Source organism: Homo sapiens, chromosome X (assembly GCF_000001405.40).
Source record: "Homo sapiens chromosome X, GRCh38.p14 Primary Assembly".
NCBI lineage: Eukaryota > Metazoa > Chordata > Mammalia > Primates > Hominidae > Homo > Homo sapiens.
The window spans coordinates 112,630,422-112,649,367 of record NC_000023.11 but is presented as its reverse complement, the minus strand read 5'-3'; the positions used below and the strand labels follow the sequence as shown (position 1 = coordinate 112,649,367).

Here is an 18,946-nt window from a genome sequence, read left to right as displayed (position 1 = left end):
ACTGAAAGGTTAGGATAATTTGTGAATAGGAAAATGTCAGATGACAGATAAAAAGAAGATTAGAAATGCCCAGGTAAACAAACATGCAATAAAAATATATAAGAAAGTCCTGGTCCAAATATAAAGCAAATGAAAAATAAGTATGCTTTTAGAGATATACCTAATGTTAAATGACGAGTTAATGGGTGCAGCACACCAACATGGCACATGTATACATATGTAACTAACCTGCACGTTGTGCACATGTACCCTAAAACTTAAAGTATAATAAAAAAAAAGAAGTATGCTTTAAAACAATTGGGAGCTAAAGTAAGAATACATTTTAATTTTAAATATGGGTTCATTTATATTAAATTAGCTTAAGAAAATAACACTGTACATGCAAGAAGTGAGAAGTATCTTAGTAGAGAACTTGGTCCCTTGTTGAACAATATTTACTACTTCCTATTATTGAAAGCACTATTTGTTGGTAATAGAGTCAATCTATTGTCAAGGTATGGGAGACTAGGTTGTGATTGCAAGATAAAAATAATATGTTTCAACTTATACCTTCTATACCTAACACAGAGTCCATAATAAATGTCCTCATTAATATTTGGAGAATAAATAAATACATAAATTTCTTTTTTTAATGTTGAAATTTTTATTTTACAGATGAAAAAGGTGGAAGATAAAATAATTTAAGAAGTCCTATTTTGTCCAGCATAGGGGAAAAGAGAACACAGCTTTGTGAGTTTGTTTTTTTTAATACTTTAAGTTCTAGTCTATTAAGGTAGAAGTCAAAATATTCCTATGTTAAAGCTTTAGTTTAATTAAAATAAAATGATCAGCAAACAGATTTTTTTTAGCTGATTCTTATACTGTTATTTTCCTTTACTCTTTAGTTCTGAGGAAGAGGACATAAAAATCTTGAATTTCACTCCTGTTGCTCAGTGACAATGTTCAGAGAAATGTGGCATTTTAACCATCATTTTGGTAAACTTGGTTATTTTTGTATGGCCATCTGTCCCTAAACCACATTATTAAGGATATTCTTTTTTAACAATTATACTTTAAGTTTTGGGATACATGTGCAGAACGTGCAGGTTTGTTACATAGGTATACACGTGCCATGGTGGTTTGCCGCACCCATCAACCCATCATCTACATTAGGTATTTCTCCTAATGCTATCCCTCCCCTAGCCCCCCACCCCCCAACAGGCCCCGGTGTGTGATGTTTCCCTCACTGTGTCCATGTGTTCTCATTGTTCAACTAGCACTTATGAGTGAGATCATGCAGTGTTTGGTTTTCTGTTCCTCTGTTAATTGGCTGAAAATGATGGTTTCCAGCTTCACCCATGTCCCTGCAAAGGACATGAACTCATCCTTTTTTATGGATGCATAGTATTCCATGGTGTATATGTGCCACATTTTCTTTATCCACTCTATCACTGGTGGGCATTTGGGTTGGCTCCAAGTCTTTGCTATTGTGAATAATGCTGCAATAAACATAGGTGTGCATGTGTCTTTATAGTGGAATGATTTATAATCCTTTGGGTATATACCCAGTAATGGGATTGCTGGGTCAAATGGTATTTCTGTTTCTAGATTCTTGAGGAATTGCCAAACTGTCTTCCACAATGGTTGAACTAATTTACACTCCCACCAACAGTGTAAAAGTGTTCTTATTTCTCCACATCCTCTCCAGCATCTGTTTATTCCCTGACTTTTTAATGATCACCATCCTAACTGGTGTGAGATGGTATCTCATTGTGGTTTTGATTTGCATTTCTCTAATGACCAGTGATGATGAGCTTTTTTTCATATGTTTGTTTGCCGCATAAATGTCCTCTTTTGAGAAGTGTCTGTTCATATCCTTTGCCCACTTTTTGATGGAGTTGTTTTTTTTCTTGTAAATTTGTTTAAGTTCCTTGTAGATTCTGGATATTAGCCCTTTGTCAGATGGATAGATTGCAAAAATTTTCTCCCATTCTGTAGGTTGCCTGTTCACTCTGATGATAGTTTCTTTTGCTGTACAGAAGCTCTTTAGTTTAATTAGATCCCATTTGTCAATTTTGGCTTTTGTTGCCATTGCTTTTGATATTTTAGTCATGAAGTCCTTGCCCATGCCTATGTCCTGAATGGTATTGCCTAGGTTTTCTTCTAGGGTTTTTATGGTTCCAGGTCTCTAATGAGACACAGCTGCTTTTAAGTAAGCTTATAAAACTGTCGTGTTATAAATAGCACTTAATTCTAGGGTAATGTCTGTATTGTCCATCAATGGATCACATTCGCAACATGTTCTCATGAACACAATATAATAAGACCCTAAAAAACTCAACCATGGCTGACAGTAATATGCCATTTTTATGATGAGGAAAACCTGAGATGGAGAGCTAAAGTGACTTGTGTAAGGTCACACAGCAAATTAAAGGCAGAATAATGAATGGAGCCTATCTTCTAACTCACTGCCTGTGTGCTACAATGACTTTTTTCCTCTCCATTGGTGAGGGTATGTCTTGAGTCATTTGAGAATTTTTTTTCTTTAGGATACACTTCAGCTCTATTGTTTTCAGAAACAAATGTCTGAAACATCATGGAAAGTACCTAGTGATGCATCCTGTCTCCCCACCTCAACCCCTATCTCCACCCCCAGTCCCCCATCAATCTTTTAGTATAATCAGATTAAACATAAATCAGGAAGTGGCTGGACCTGATGGGATTCTGAAAGAGATCCCCATTGGAATGAATATATATGGGAAATTCTTAAATGCCTCTAGATTTGACTTGCACTAATAAAGGAACCTAAATGGTCCTGCTAAAGTCAATCAAATAAGAAAGATCTACAAAAATTTTTGTGTTCCACATGTTCTAAGATTATATACAGTTTATCTAGGGCCTCTCTCTGGTCTTCTGGGGTATGTGTTTGGGGGATAGGGAGGATGAAAGATTGGAGGGGGTTTGGGGAAGATACAGCCTTGAAAACAAAACCGTACAATTGCAAAAAGAATCTACCAGCCCCCGCACCCCCCCTCCCCCCGCAAACCAGGAAAGTTTGACCTCCTTCCTTCCATTGCCTGTTTTGTTTCCAGGTTCTTCTCTTGTGTCTTCCAGTCCTTCTTCCAGGTCCCTTGCTGTCCCGGGACTCCCTTGGTGTCCACTCTACCCTCCTGGAAAATTATGTACCTGACCCTGTCCCACCAGAGTCTTCAGTTGAACAGTTTAGGAAATTGACTCCTTTACTTCTTTTCTTCACTTAAAGAAGAAACTAACAGCCAAATATTTAAAACAGAAAATGAACAAACATTAACCGGGAACCTGCACTGAAACTTAAACTGAGAGGGACCTTGAGATCAGTCAGTGGGGCAAATAAGGGCAGGTGACTTTCTGAAGGCCCCACAACTAGTGACCTAGGACTAGTTTCCTTACTCCCACGTATACGGTAGATGCTGCTTAATGGCAACCCAGTATCTGTTTCTTGAATGAATCACCCATTCAACAAGAGGGAGAAAACAGGTAAAGGCTCCTTGCAACAGCCCTGTCAAGTGCAATGCTTTTCATATACCTTAATTTTATTAAATAAATGAAAAATTCAAGCTGAGAAAAATGCTTTGCTGCTTGTTAATTGAACTCCAGCCATCAAATGAAGATTTTATGGACTTGATGCCACACAGATGAATTCTTGAGAAGTCCAATTCTAAATTGATGCTATTCTTCATCAAGCCTCTAATTGAAAGAGAGGGTTGGGCATAGATTGCCTAGTTGTAAGACCGGGCTTTTGCATAGCTACATTCTTAGCTCTGTGACCTTGGGCAAATTATTCAGCATTTGTGAGTTTGTTACTACCTCATGGATTGTTGTGAGAATTAGATGAGATAATGCATGCAATACATACAGTATAGTATTTGGTACATAGTAACCAGTCAATAGTTGATATCTGATATCATCATCATCATCATCATCATCCTGATACCAGTTGTTAAAATAAAAATGTTCCCAGTACTTTAGTTTTCAGAAAAAGGACCTATTACAGCAAGGAGCCAGTATATGCAGCATGAAGGCTAAATGCACAGGTTAATAGTAGAATGACCTGGGTTCAAATATGAGCCTTACCATTTACAAGTTGTGCAAGCCTCCATTAATGAGGATTGGTAATAGTATTTCTCTCCGTAGGGTTAATGAGAAGATTAAGTGAAGTATAGACACATACAAAGCACAATAGGCTGCATTATATGTAACTTGCTATTAGTAGCAGCCTAGGTCTCAAGAGCCTTTTTGGAGGGGATGCCCCAGACTTGGCTTCTGGGAGGGAAGGAGGGACCCCCTCCAACACACACTTGGCAAAGGCCTGCAGTAGAGGCTACCCAAAAGCCATGTGTGTGCTCCCTGTGTTTCCTCTCCTGGAGGTTCATTTCCTTTGCTCTCCCATCATTTCTGCTCATTCTTGCCAGTTCAAAGCCTTTTATGGTGACTTGGGGTTTGACCTTTGTGGGTTCAGTTTCCAGGCATTTCCTGTTACCTTTTCTTTCTGTCAGTTTCCTTCTTTATGGACAGTTTGTTTTCTTGTGCTCACCACAGCACAAAGAAGCAGTCTAATACATTTCCATGCCCATAGCAGGGCATCAAAGTGTGGTAGAAACAACCATGGCCAGGGTATCAGGGCACCTGGGTTTTGATTTTCCTAAGCTTGCCTGGGCACCTCACTTTGGCACTCTGACCCTTAGTTTCCTTGTTTTCACATAGAGAGCATTGGACTAGATCGATAAGTACTCAGAGGCCCCAGATACATGCCTAGCTCCCTGTGTTGTGATATGCCTACTTTTATGGTGAGGTCTTTGATCTAATTTCACGTCTACCTATTTTGTATTTAAATAACAGAAGAGCAGATATCAGGTCCTCTTAATGTGTACACACACACACACACACACACACACAAACAGGAGAAATATATGCTAATTTGCTTGACTGTAGTAATCATTTCACTATAGGTATATAAAAACATCATATTGTATATGTTAAAAATGTACAATAAAAACTAAAGCAATCTACTTAAGGCATCCCTTCTAGAGGAGAGGAGCTTTTTAGTAATACCCACCCCATCAAGATTAAGTTATAGAGGAAAAGAAAAAAAAAGAAAGTAATACCCACCCATGGAAGGAGGGGCCAGAGATTGGCCAAAGGGATTGTCCAAAGCAACTCATCCATAGGAGGCCATCCGCCCCTCACAATTTTCCTGCAGCATCAGCTAGAATGCCCTGGCAGGCAGTCCTTGAAAATCCATGGCTTAGGTGTTGCTTAAGATTTTTTAGTTGCCCATCTAGCCCACACAGAGAGGAGTATCCAGCCAGAGAAGAAGCTGTGCTGAGCTGGAGCAGGCAGTGGGGGAATCAGTCAGTTAAAAGGCAACTTAAGCAGCTGCTCTGTGAGGAGGTAGTTGGTATCGCTTCTGTTTTACTCATGGGGAGCTGAAACTCAAAAAGGTTTGATGACTTGCCCCAGAGGTTAAGTTTGTGACAGGACATGATTTCAACCGCACGTCCGTAGTGCTTGGCATGCTCAGTGTTGCACTGAATGGAACGAACAAATTGTAGGGTGGCTCTGTTGCTATCTGACTGTATCACCATAGATAAGTAATTTCACTTCTTTAAACCTGTTTCCCCACGACTAAAGTGAGGATGATAATACCTACTGATATGGTTTGACTCTGTGTCCCCATCAAAATCTCACCTTGAATTGTAATAATCCCCACGTGTCTAGGGCAGGACTAGGTGGAGATAACTGAATCATGGCGAAAGTTTCCCCCATGCTGTTCTCATGATAATAAGCGAGTCTCACAAGATCTGATGACTTTATAAGCATCTGGCATTTCCCCTGCTTGCACTCATTCTCTCTCCTGCTGCTCTGTGAAGAGGTGCCTTCTGGCATGATGATAAGTTTCCTGAGGCCTCCCCAGCCATGTGGAACTGTGAGTCAAGTAAACCTCTTTTTCTTTTTTTTTTTTTTTTTTTTTGAGACGGAGTCTGGCTCTGTAGCCCAGGCTGAAGTGCAGTGGCACGATCTCGGCTCACTGCAGCCTCTGACCCCCAGGCTCAAGCAATTCTTCTGTCTCAGCCTCCTGAGTAGCTGAGATTACAGGCATGCACCACCACGCCCGGCTAATTTTTGTATTTTTAGTAGAGACAGGGTTTCACCATGTTGGTCAGGCTGGTCTCGAACTCCTGACCTCGTGATCCACCCGTCTCAGCCTCCCAAAGTGCTGGGATTACAGGCGTGAGCCACTGCGCCCGGCTTTTTTTTTTTTTTTTTTTAAATTACCCAGTTTCAGGTATTTCTTCATAGCAGCATGAGAATGGACTAATATACCTACCTTCCAAAATTGTTTTGGCCATAACATGACAACATGCAGATAAATGTGCTTTATGAAAACAATGCTCTACAGGTACAAGGCATAACAGATTAGAAAGCTAATTTACCATTAGATTTTCTCACTGATCATCTTCTATTAAAAATAGTGAGGTGCTTAAAGTAATGAGACTCTATACATCCCATAGGCCACTAAGCTACTTTCATTTTGAATAGAAAAATAATGACGGTGCTTATAAACATTTCTATCTTTTCTGACATAGTCTGCATGAGAATGAGGTGCTCACCCCTGGAGTAGTTGGTGACTAAGGTGACTTCCAGCTTGGTGACTCCAGAGGAAAGCAAGGCTGTTACAATAGCCTCAAGGTCAGGTCTTCTGATTCAATTGGCCTTATTTTCACATTGCCTTGCAGAGGGCCTAGTAGGCTCAATGACTGGAAAAATGAATGCAGAATTGTGAGCCAGTTGTCTATGCATGAGACGACCACACGATGGCAGTAAAGTCAGGTGAATTCATTCTCTGCTGCTTTCTCAGTCCTGCCTCTAGTCCTTAGATCAAAGAATGTGAACACACTTAATTCCTTGTTTCTGTTTCTTCCAGTTAATGCCTGGGCAACATGGTGAAGCCCCGTCTCAACAAAAAATATAAATTTTTATTTATTTTTTTTAATATTTTTTGTTGAGACGGGGCTTCACCATGTTGCCCAGGCTGGTCTCAAATTGCTGGACTCATCTAAGCTGCCCAGCTCGGCCTCTTAAAGTGCTGGGATTACAGGCATGAGCTGCTTGGCCTGACATTAACTGATAGTATTACTATTGTTATTAGTATAGGTTGGACAATATAGAAGGTTTTTTAATAAAGTGAAATGGGTTTCAAACGCAGGAACCAGGAGGAAAACTAGGGTCAACTGTAATCCCAGGAGCAATTCCCTGGCGAGGCTAGAGTTACAGGGATGAAAATATATGTTATATCTGTGTTCTGTGTCATATAACTTTTTCAAATCATTGTCACCTAGCCTCACCCTGGTGAACTGTGAGAAATTATGAGAAAGAGACAAATGTATCTTTCAAGTGAAAGCTGCTAGCACTGCATCAAGCACAGTGTAGGTTTCCAAAAAATGTGGATTCCTCTTGCTTTTCCTCTGAAAGTTAGACTGATGTGGGCTAATGATATGGTCCTATCCAGTGGTTCCCCATGGAAATGTGTATCAGAATCATCTGGGCCTTCTCCCCAGACATACTAATTTTGTAGATCTGGAGTGGAGCCTAGGAATCTGTATTTTACAGCTCTCTCAGACACTTTTGGGAACTTGTTGGACCAGTTGGGAGTGTGTTGAGCTGAGATAAAGAGGATCTGAGAAGTATTAATTATTCTAGGCATGGTGCTAAGTGCTTTGTATGTGTCATCTTTTTGGCCTTCAGAGCTGCTCTGTGAGATAGGTGGTATCACTTCCATTTTACTCACGGAGAAGCTGAAACACAGAAAGGAGAAATGGCTTGCCTCACAGGTTCATTTTGTGAAAGGACGTGATTTCTAGCACAGTTCCCTGTAACTCTCATCCCAGACTCTTCTCCCTGTACCACACTGACTTCCTGAGCACACACAGACCTGGGCTCAGTCTCTATTTTCTCTAAGTGGGGACCTTGGTCAGACACTTTATCTGGCTGTTCGATTCTTTCCTCTATAATAATTCCTGCCTCTGGCTGGGACTTGACGAATGAATAAAACAAATGAAAAATAAATAAATGAGATAATGGATCACAAAATACCTTAAAAATGATAAAGTACTAAACTCATATTGGGTGGTATTATTTGTGGCATTTGTCATTACCCAGGAACCTTGGACCTGGAAAAGTCTCTGTGGTGTATATCCGTTGGCTGATAAAGCATGGATGGAAATAGCTAATGTTCAAAGCTGGCATTGCTGGTATGGGGCTAATTTAATGGCTAGAATGAGGGAACATGCACTTCTGAGTCCTGAGGTAAATCAGCTCACTGGGTCTGGCTTTCTAGCATTCTTGAATGTTCAAGGATTATGTCAAAAATTAATAACAGTCACTCAAAAAGCATATTCTGAACATTCACTGTATTCAAGATGCTGAATAAGGCATTGTAAAAACTACAAAGAATTTAAGGATATAGTCTTCAACAAGCCTGTAGTTAATTTGAGGAGACATGATCCATACACACACACACACACACACACACACAGATGGAATCTAACAAAAGCAGCCATAATGATGTCAATCACAAATGTGTAGTGTCGTCAGAAGGAGTAAATTACTGTTGTTACGCTAAGACACACAATGAGAACTCTAGAATCTATCTTCCTTCTCTTTATGTAAGTTCTCATCTAGGTTACTGAAAATAGCCCCTGACTCTCTCTCTCCCTGTTCCACAAAGGTACTGCACATCAACGCCTTTATCTATCTCCCATCCTGTGGACAAACTGATGTTTCTAAAATGCAAATCTGATGTCATTATCCTTCTTTAGCAGTGGTTCCCCATTGCCTTCAGGATAAAGTCCAGATTCTTTAGCAAGGCCTACAGGGACTCTGGCTATCACTTCCATCACCACCCTGTCTTCTTCTCTTGCCCAGCCACCTCGAAAATACCATGTTCCTCCACCCCTTTGCAACTTTGCATGTGTTACTCCCTTTGCTGGGAATGCCCTTCTTCCCTTCCTTACCTAGCTAACTTCTTATTTTTCCCTGAAAACTCCCCAGCTCCTTTCAACTGGATTTGATATCTCTCACCTATATCCTTGTGGCAGTCCATATCGGAGCGCTTGTCACACTAATAGTCTATTTCCTTGTCCCGTTTCTGCTTCTGGCTCCCTTTCACTCATCTAGTTTGTTGATCTTACCTATGAGAAAACAATATGTTTACAGAGCTTACTATAGTGACTGGCATATAGAAACATTTAACCAATATTAGCTATTACTATTCCAGTAACTGACTTATTTAGCTGAGAAAGTTCAAGTGGAAGCAAGCAGAGGACTACTGAGCAGATGTTAGGGGAGAGGAACCAATTTCCTAGAGGCTAAGTGTCCTCAAGAGCTAGCGCTGAATCGAATACATCCAATATTTGGTCAGATGGGTTTTAACCCGTCTCCTTGAGGAGAGCGCCCAAAGCTCTTCTGAGAATCTGCTCCAGGTGTAGCTGACAGGCTGTATAAAAGGCAACACGGGGTGACCCAGAAGTGTTTTTCAGAGGCAGCTAAAGGTAAATCTGGAGAAAGACCTAGAAGCACAATTTAACTTGGCCTGAGACATGGAAGATGAGCAGAGTAGCTAAAACTCAGGATAGCTATATGAAAAGTGATATAAATAAGCAATACAGGTTGGCAAAACATGAGGAAAGGTCGGAAGCTAATGCTCAATAGTGGCGAGGAAGATTTTAATCGAAGGACTCAATTTGTTCGGCAGAAGTGTGTGAGAGAGAAAAGAAAAATCAGCCAAATCAGGGCATTTCTGTCGTCATGAGGACTTGGCTCTTCTTTGAGTACTCCCATGGACTTTCTAGCAAGTGTCCTGGTCTTCCCTTACCCTTTGGAACATTGGGTTGAACCGTGATGAAGTTGAAAACCCAGAATGTCCTACCCCTCCAGCAGACCTGACTGGACCAAAAAGTCAGTGGCTACTCACAATAACATATTTACCTGAACAACTGAAGTTTTCAGTGGGTTGTTTTTTATTCTTCTTCTCTGGCAAAGGAGCCTGGCAGGCTTCTGGAATCTTCAGTAGGTTCTGGGCCTCCAATCTGGGCTGCTGTTGACACTCACGCCCAGCTTGGAGAGTGAGAAGAGAGATGTTCTCATAGCTTTGGCTGTCTTTTTACTGGGGGCCGGGGTGGGGGTGGTAGGGTGTTTGGCAATTGCTCTTGAATTCGTTGGCTTTGCTTTATCTTTGTGGATTATTCATCTGTGTTTGCTGAACCTAGCAGAGAAAGTTCTCTGTTCATTTAGCTTGGCTGCATTAAAAATGTTTTTATGTTGCTACCTATAAAGACCCTAAAGTCAGCAGTATGTCTCTGAATAGATGGGACCACCAGCTCCTTCCAAACCCCTACTTTTCTTGCTAACATAAAATTCAGGTCTTCATGGCAAAAATGCATTGAGTCAGCAAATAGCAACCACCCCTCCCTTACCCTACCATGTGTACCAAACGGTAGTTTGGGAGATGGGTTGTTACCTGGTTTCATGACTTTAGATGGTGCCACAATGATGAGAAGAACAGCTGGCTTTCCTGAACTGTGTTTATTATTTCCTGAACTTGTTTATTATTTCCTGAACTTGTTTTATTATTTTCAGAAAAAAATAATACCCTCAATAGGAAGAGGTCTGTAAAAGCTTAACCCTCCCCAGCCATCAGTCTCCATGTGCCATGATCTCTATGTCTAGTGTTCTAATCTTCCACCCACCCCATCAACTCTCCTTTAGTATCTCTATTGTTCTAATCTTCCACCCACCCCATTGATTCTCCTTTAGTCCCTTTCTCTTCTTTGATTTCTCTCTATTCCTTCCCCTCACACCCTACTCTATCAAATTCCAAAGGATTCCTAGGTGCTTCTCTGTAGCTGAGGTTTTTGTCCTCAGGGCCACTATAGGCTACCTGGCTTGATATGTGGAAGCCTGTGAAAGCCATCAAGGCCCCCAGGTCACTCCCAGGCAGATTTCTCTGTATATCTGTCCTGCTCCTCTACACTGGGTGGTGAAGTTGAGGATGATATGCAGGTTCCCATTTTAGGTTCTTCTCTATCCTTGGTGTCATTCCTTCCCTTCTTTTGCCTATCTAAGGCCAGGGCAGTGTCTCTTAAACTTCCTGATTATTGGAGTATATTAGACGAAAAAACAAATGCTAATATTGTTCTCTTTGCCCCTTACCTGAAACACCCTCCAGTCTTCTAATTCCAATAATTCCTAGAATTTGGATCTTATCTTTCTGGTGGAATACAATCTACACCCTTGAACTATTCACATTGTCCAAATGGATTTTTCCCTTCTTGCCTGACCCTGAAACTCCAAACCACTTCACAATTCTTACCCCATCTTCATGAGCCTCTCCCCTGCCACACCAATATCCAACACTTCTTACCATAATCCGGGGTCCTAGCATGCTTGTTTTTTCCTTCTACAGTAGCAGCTCTCAGAACATGACTGTTGGCAACACTTGTGCGAAATTAAATCTTCATATATCTGAAGGTTCCATTACATTTCATCTAGCCCTATTCAGTTTTGGAGGTGTTAGTTGTCATTATGGGCTTGCTATATCCCTGCTTCCCTGACTCTTCCTCCAACCTTTCAGGAGCCTGGAATTTCATCAGATGATTCTCTGAAAGAGAAGACTCAACTCACTCAAAAGACAGACTTACCTCATTCTCTTTTTATGCCCTTTCTTTTCAACATTGTTTCCTTCTTCCTCCAAAGAGAACTCCTTTTTTGGATTCACTCTCCAGCATTCTTGGCTTCTAAGCTGGCATTCTGCACATGCTCCCTGAATGGGGGAGCCACTCTATCAGATTCTGACTCACTCCGGTCCATAATTTTGATGCCCACAGCAATGCTAGATCCCACCACAAGCATTGGTTTGGGGCTAACTCCCCATAGCTCATCATGACCCATTGACAGCTAGCCAGACACCACAACCCTGAAGGGCATAGGACTGCGGCTCTAGGGAGGGTGGTCAGTTTAAGTGGCCGCCAGTGACAATTTATCTCTAAACAGTGAGCTGTAAAACATAACATCGTGCTGAATCAAAGGAAACAGAGTCAAATTCCAATCCAATTTGATGTGCAACTTGGAATAAAAGCAACGTGTCTTGATTTAAATGTCAGGCCCACTGCTGAGTGATGATTTAATAACTTGTATGAGAGATTCTGTCACAGCAAATTCAACACTGGAATTCAGTGACTCACAGATAGAGTGTTAGAAATGATACAGAAGAGCACAAAAAGGAATAGGCTTATCTCAGGGCTCATCCAGAAGCTTTGCATAAAGCTCATTTGCAGTTAGAACCTCTTTTCTCCCCCTATCCTGCCACCGATCCTTCTCTTCACAGACACCCATGCATGGATATAGAGAAAATTTCTAGGTGTGATGTCATCTCCCTGCAGTATCTTCTAAGGACACAGACTTTTAAACAATTCTAGCGTGGAAGTAGAGTCAGTGCATTTAATCTGAAGGCAAGGAAGCAGTTAGTTTGGTGTTTCTCAAGGGACTTTAAGGACGCATCTGGTCTTAATGTGACGTCTTTAGCCAGGTACTTAATTATTTTTCCACATTTTAAGGGTTAAAGAGCTGAGACCTGGTGGAGTTAAAACATTTATTCAAATATTTATCCTGTCTCCTTACTCCCAGGGAATCAGTGCTTCCTCCTCAATACCTTGTGAGATCTCTCCCCTTGAGCTTCCCTTGCCTTCCATGGGGTAACATACTAGAATGCTCAAGACTGACCATGCCTCAGTCCCAGTCTGCTTCCCAGGTCAAGAAGGAACCATGCATGGCCGTTCTTAAGGGAGGAAATTCCATTCTGTTGGGCTAATCTTTTAGTCATCAAGATTTATTTTGAATAGAATTTAAAGTATAAATATCTGGTGTTTGTCTACATGAGGATTGCTCAACGTAGACAATATCGACACTTTTTGGCCAGATCATTTTTTGTTGTGGAGAACTCTTTTATGTATTGTTGGATGTGTAGCAGTGTCCGTGACCTCTGGTAACTCTCTCTGTCTATATCCTCCATTTGCCTCCAATCTATTTGACACAGACCTTTCAGGTTAATATTTCCAGGCAATACCTCTAACTTAGTGGTTCTCAATAGAAAGCAACCTCCCCTCATACCGGGGGACATCTGGCAATGTCTGGTGACATTTTTGGTTTTCACAACTTGGTGGGGAGGAAGAATAAGTTGCTATAGACATATAGTGGGTAGAAGCCAGGGTGTTACAGTGTACAGGAAAACCGCCCCCTGCCCCTGCCCCCACACCAAGTAAATGTCCAACCCAAAATGTCAATAGCGCCAAGGTCGAGAAACCTTGCTCTAGCGTATCGTTCCCTGCTCAGAAACTTTCCATTGTTTCACACTGCTTGTAGGAAAGATGACAGATTTCATGGCCTCTCCTGGTGTAGATTCAGTTTATTATTTTGTCAACTATAGCTCCTTTTTGGAAACAGCTCTGAATGTTATGCTTTCTCTGAAACATGTCATGTGCTTTCTCACTCACATAACTTTGCTCACGCCAACCACTCCCTCTGCCTAGAATGCCCACTTCCTACTACTAAAGCCAAGATGAAATGTAGCATCTACAAAGGCTTACCTGAGCTCAAATTTTCCCAGCTGCAAATAATTCCTCCTTCCCTGGATATTCCTATAGTATTTTACAAATATATCTCTTAAAGCACTTATCATATTCATACTACAATAGAAAATATGATCTGGAAGGGGCTTTTAGGATTCTCTTCAGTAAATCCTTCCACTGAAAGTAAAGGAAACTGAGGTCCAGAAAGGTGAAGTAATTGGCCGAAGGCATTGTATATTCTCGCAAGACTTGGACTGTAGTAATTTGTGTTCTTGGTTTCATTCTCCTAGCATGGTTGAAATGGATAATCATGAACTTTGAGTTAGGTCTGGCAGTCAAATTGCAATTCTGACACTTATAAGTGGGCCAAGTCATTTACCTTTCTGAAACTCAGTTCCCTGAGCAGTAAATGGAAATAATCATGGCTGTTATGAGAATTAAATGAGATTGTGTATTAAAAATGCCTAGCATATAGTCGGTACTCAATACATGTTTGTCAGATGAAAATAAGGATCAATAGTAGTTTAAATAATGGGATTTGGGAATGGATGATGGTCCATAGGACTTCACTAAAAGGCAACAAGAGGCAAAATATGGCAACTCATTGCCACCTGCTCCCTACTTTTGCACCCTTCCATAGACGATTTCCTCAGTGGGCCATCAGATCAGCATGCAAGTTTTCTGTGAAGTAACTGAGTGCTGACAGTGGCTTTCCAAATGGTAAGGTAGTTCTTAAAAGGTCTGCTTTTTCTTTTTCTTTTACAGTGCCAATGAATATAATCTCTTTTTTTCCTCCGGTAGATAACAGGTAGAGTTGTGGGGAGGGATGTGGATGGAAGATACATTTCCCCTCTTTCTCCTTAGTTTCCTTTATGACAGCAGTCTGGGGCTTAGATGCCTTCAGAGGTCTAACAGAAATTTCTGTGAGAGGGAATTCACAAGGCACTTGGGGTGGCAATAGGAGCACTTTAGTGTTGGCTCCTAGCTCAGTGATACCTGGTTCTGACTTCAGTGAGGTTTATTGGGGCCTTTCTAGCCAGCTCTTCACTCTGGAGCTGACCACTCTGTCAGTTTTCTTCCTGCCTAGGGCTTTGGGCTAATGGCATGCTATGCATTTATTCTCTTCATTCAGAGAAATGAGTCTTTCCCTGATCCCATGGGGCATGTACCTAATAGAAATATCCTTGCTACTCAAATGAGGGGATGACCTGACAAGCAGCTGAAGAAACAGAATGAGAGTTCTGATGCCTTGTCTAGACTAGATTTGGAATAAGCTGGGGAGGATGAAGTTGCTTGGCAATGGGCCCACCTCAGAGCTGGCTCCTGTCTGCTCTGCCAGGTGACTACAGGAGATTTTTGTTGAAGGGGGTTAGAAGAGAAGCTCAGGTGAGTCTACTACAACTTGACTTAGGAGCCCCCCCTCCTTAGGGCTTACAGGTCAAGGGCCCTGTAAGAGAAAAATGCTTTTGGGTGTGATGAAAACAAAACTGCAGAGGGCAGAGCACTGAATTGGGAGTAAAGACACTTGGTCTGGATTTCTGCCTCTACCTCTCTGCTTCTGAGAGAGTTCCCAGGGCTATCACCGGAGCCTCATATTATGGTTTGTGAAGTAGGTGCAATAAAGTCTGCAGTCTTCTTCCCACTGATGGCAGAAGTTGAAGGTTTTCCAGTCTCTGGAGTTTTCACTCTGTGAATTCCAAAACATTTTTCAAACCTTCCTACTTTGTGTATGTGAACCAGGGAGTGTGTGTGTTTGTGTGTGTGTGTCCAGGGGGAGGAGCAACAAGGAGGGGATACAGCTCTACAGGCTGCTTGTCTCTATATGGTATTCTTCAGTTTACTGTCTTGAGAGTCCACCATTGTTGTTCACGTTTAAACTACTTTGGAGATAGTTGAGCTCCTTTCTCAAAGGAGGCTTCTCTTTCAAATTTGCTCTTTCTGAGCCTTCAGAGGCACTATTTTCATAGCTGCTGTAATTGGGCTTTCACCATGATTTTGGGTGGGACCACAGGAGTTCAGGAACTTTAGACTGCCCAGGTCTATTGGTAAAGTACTATTTCCTCTGAAGGACTGTAACACTTGACACTGGTCATAAGAGGGGATAAGGGATCCATTCACCCATTCAAGTAGAAAGGAAGGATACATGGTATTGTGAGAGCCTCTGATGAGGGAAGTTGACTTAGGAAGGTCAGAGAAAACTTCACTGAAGAATTAATGATTATGTTTAGTTCTGAGGAATTATTAAATATTGACTAAGTAAAGAAAGTAGTGGAAAGTATATGCGTACACGTGCACATGCAGTGAATGTTTTAGGCAAAGGAAACAGAATGTGCATAAGCCTTAAAGTACAAGGGATCAGGGCACATTCCAGAAAGAAATAAAATACTATATTCGCTGGTTTTTCAACTTTAATTCAAAATTTAAGCCATAGTTTTAGGTGTTAAGGGTTGAAAATGCCAATGTCCTCAGCTTTGAAGTACTGTTAGGCTAAATCACACATACTGAAATGGTACCCACAGTGGATAGAGCACATGAAAGCATAATCACGAAAAGAAACAAATGCATCTGTACTATTGAGCCAGCAATCTGGAAGAGAGGAAAGGGCAGATAAAAAAATGTGAAATGTAAATCTTTCTCCCAATATTTTGTCCAGCAGGTACATCTGTCAATGGAGTATACGGATACATTCCGGGAGGGCTACCTGGTTGAGGTGACATGAGCCCAGCGGAGTGAATCAAGGGAGGGCTTCAAGCAGGTGCCAAGTTCTGGATAGTGTTCTGAGGAAGCTATAAATTGGTGAATAAGAGGAGAGAAGATGTTTCTGGCAGGAGAAACAGCATGAGACATGACTTGGTGGTAGACTATTTTATTTCTGAGATGGGAAATGTGGGGATAAATTAGGCTGGCCTGAATGGGAAAGCGAAGCAGCCAAGCTTGGGCCCATCTTAGACTCTTTCTAGGAGACACCAACTAATCAACTAAAAGCAGTAAAATTAAGGTTCACCAGGTAGTATGTGAAAATAAATAATTAGTTATTTGAATTTAGCCTTTAAAAAATAAATTGTCATACAGATCAATCTTGACATCCTCCACTGACTGTAGTCAGGATTAACTTTCTTCAAGATTTAGATAGAGAGAGATAGGTGAAAGTTGCTGCCTATCTCTCTTCTCAGGGACTCTCTGCAATTTTGTATCACTGGGACCCTACCATAATTTCTGGAGTCCTGTTTGCTTAAGCACTTTATTTTAGCAGTTAGCCACTTTGATACCTTGTAAAGTAATAGCTCTTATTTTTCTAGGCATTGACATTTTCTGAAGGATGGCTGAAAAGTCACAAATCTTTCAGACAAAGGAACCTGTCTCTGATGGAATAGCAGGTGGCGGGGTGGATGTTTTTGAGCAGGTGACCTTTCCCATTACCTTTTAAAGAGAAAACTACCCACTTCAAAGCTTGGCTTTGATTCCAATGCATATTGCTTTCCTGGGTGTTGAAAGGCTAGGTTAGGATAGAGACATGATGTAAGAGGGAGTTGATTTTATTTTACCTGTCTAATCCCCTGATGATGCAGGCAGCCCATGTACAGTATTCTATCACTGTGGTTCAAAGTGTGGAGTTTTGAAGTTAGGATGAGTCAGCATTTGTATCTTTACCACTTGCCGGCTGTGTGGTTTTCAGTTGCCTCATCTTCTGTAGCTGTGTGTGCCTCAGTTGCTTCGTCCTTTGTAAAACAGGGATAATAAGAGTACCTATCTCATATAATTACTGTAATGATCAATGAGGTATATGTTTAAAGAGCTTAGCATAATGCTTGACATCTTATCAAGTTGTTCTTGTCATCATTGTCATTAGCATTGCCACCCATACCACCCCCAGGCTCCTACTCTAACAAAAAAATAAAATCTTACAACCTCTTGCTGAAGCAAAGATCAGCAGTCAGCACAGAAGGAAAGAAGAAAATAGGAAGCCCAGGGACATTCGCTGTTTCCTATTCTCACCCTAACCATAGCATCCCAAAGAGAATGTATAAAAACTGTACTTTCTGGAATCATTTCTATAGTTCATTACCAAAGAGAAAATATGAAAAGACAACCCAATCCTCATTCTCTGTCCCTGTTCTCACAGGTACCTGTCGGCTTGGCTGGGCCTATTACTGTGCTGGAGGTGGAGCAGCTGCAGCCATGTTGATCTGCACCTGGCTCTCTTGCTTTGCTGGAAGAAACCCCAAGCCTGTCATATTGGTGGAGAGCATCATGAGGAATACCAATTCTTATGCTATGGAGCTTGACCATTGCCTCAAACCTTGAGCTTTGAAAGAAGATTGGAGAGGGTGGGAAAGGGGAGGAGGGAGCCCTGAAAAGAGGTACTAAGGATTAGGCCATTTGTCATCTGACTGTCATTAGCATAGCCTAGTGTTTGCATGCTTTTTAAACTAATTGTCGTTCATTTTCACTTATCTTTAAGCCAGTAGGTCACTGGCTGTTTATAAAATTCATCAGAGGAAACATTCTCAGACATTTACCCAACTGGCAAGTCGTGCTAACCCGAAGACCCAAAGTACCCCTTTATGCAAAATAGGATCCAAAGCTAAGGCTGGGTAAGAATAGTTGTGCAGGGAGGGAGCACGAGATGGGCAGAGCTGGTTCCTACCACTCCATTCACACAGTTCATCAGTTCATTCCCAAGTATTTATTGTCACCCCCAAACATCTCTGGAGTACTACTGCTCAATTTTTGTGTCGTTATCAGGAGTATACCTTGGCTCTTCCTTTTTTTCTCCTGCTTCCCCCCGCACCTTGTGGGGAAGCTTCAGGGGAGCGGGGGAGGGTGATTCCCAGTGGTGGGGAAAACATTAATCAAGGATACTTGCATTTAGCCTGGAGCCCCTTCCTCATTATGCTTTAGAATATTCATAGGAGTTCCATTTGTATTCTGGCTGGGTGATGAGCAAAAAAAATATATAGTAGCAAATATTCTCTCATCCTTTAGAGATAAAGAAATGGTGTTCATCAAATGTACTGAGAATAGACTAGCATTTGTGGGGCACTCAATAAATTTAAATTCATGGTGACAGTGACAAGGATGTTTCTGCTAGATACTTATTGAAATTTCTATCAGAGATCATTTTTATTGACTAGGAAATCCACAGTGGCCTTTTACCCCCTATAGTCACTCTTAATGTGACATAAGTTCATCTGCCTGTTTCAAAGACTGTTCATCAAATGATCTCTCCTCCATCTGGGGCGAGTTAGCCACAAAAGAACACAGCACTGATGTCACCTAGGGCTGATGTATTTTTAGGCCTG

At 41.4% G+C, this 18,946-nt stretch overlaps 1 protein-coding gene across 5 annotated transcripts in view, besides 2 other annotated features; it reads left to right on the top strand.

The window, feature by feature from the left end:
• Positions 1 to 18,720, top strand: part of LHFPL1 (LHFPL tetraspan subfamily member 1) — a 49,291-nt gene extending 30,571 nt beyond the window's left edge. For all 5 annotated transcript variants that reach the window (XM_011530946.3, NM_178175.4, XM_047442082.1 and 2 more), the window contains one exon: positions 17,767 to 18,720. In XM_011530946.3, coding sequence (XP_011529248.1) covers positions 17,767 to 17,948 — 182 coding nt within the window. In that variant the 3' untranslated portion in view covers positions 17,949 to 18,720. The remainder of the gene's footprint in view (positions 1 to 17,766) is intronic.
• Positions 5,253 to 5,302: an enhancer, noted in NCBI's record as "active region_29863". NCBI's record gives its function as "activates an Ori minimal core promoter by ATAC-STARR-seq in GM12878 lymphoblastoid cells {active_cell/tissue: GM12878}" and the evidence as "EXISTENCE:reporter gene assay evidence [ECO:0000049][PMID:35858748]".
• Positions 7,771 to 7,820: an enhancer, noted in NCBI's record as "active region_29862". NCBI's record gives its function as "activates an Ori minimal core promoter by ATAC-STARR-seq in GM12878 lymphoblastoid cells {active_cell/tissue: GM12878}" and the evidence as "EXISTENCE:reporter gene assay evidence [ECO:0000049][PMID:35858748]".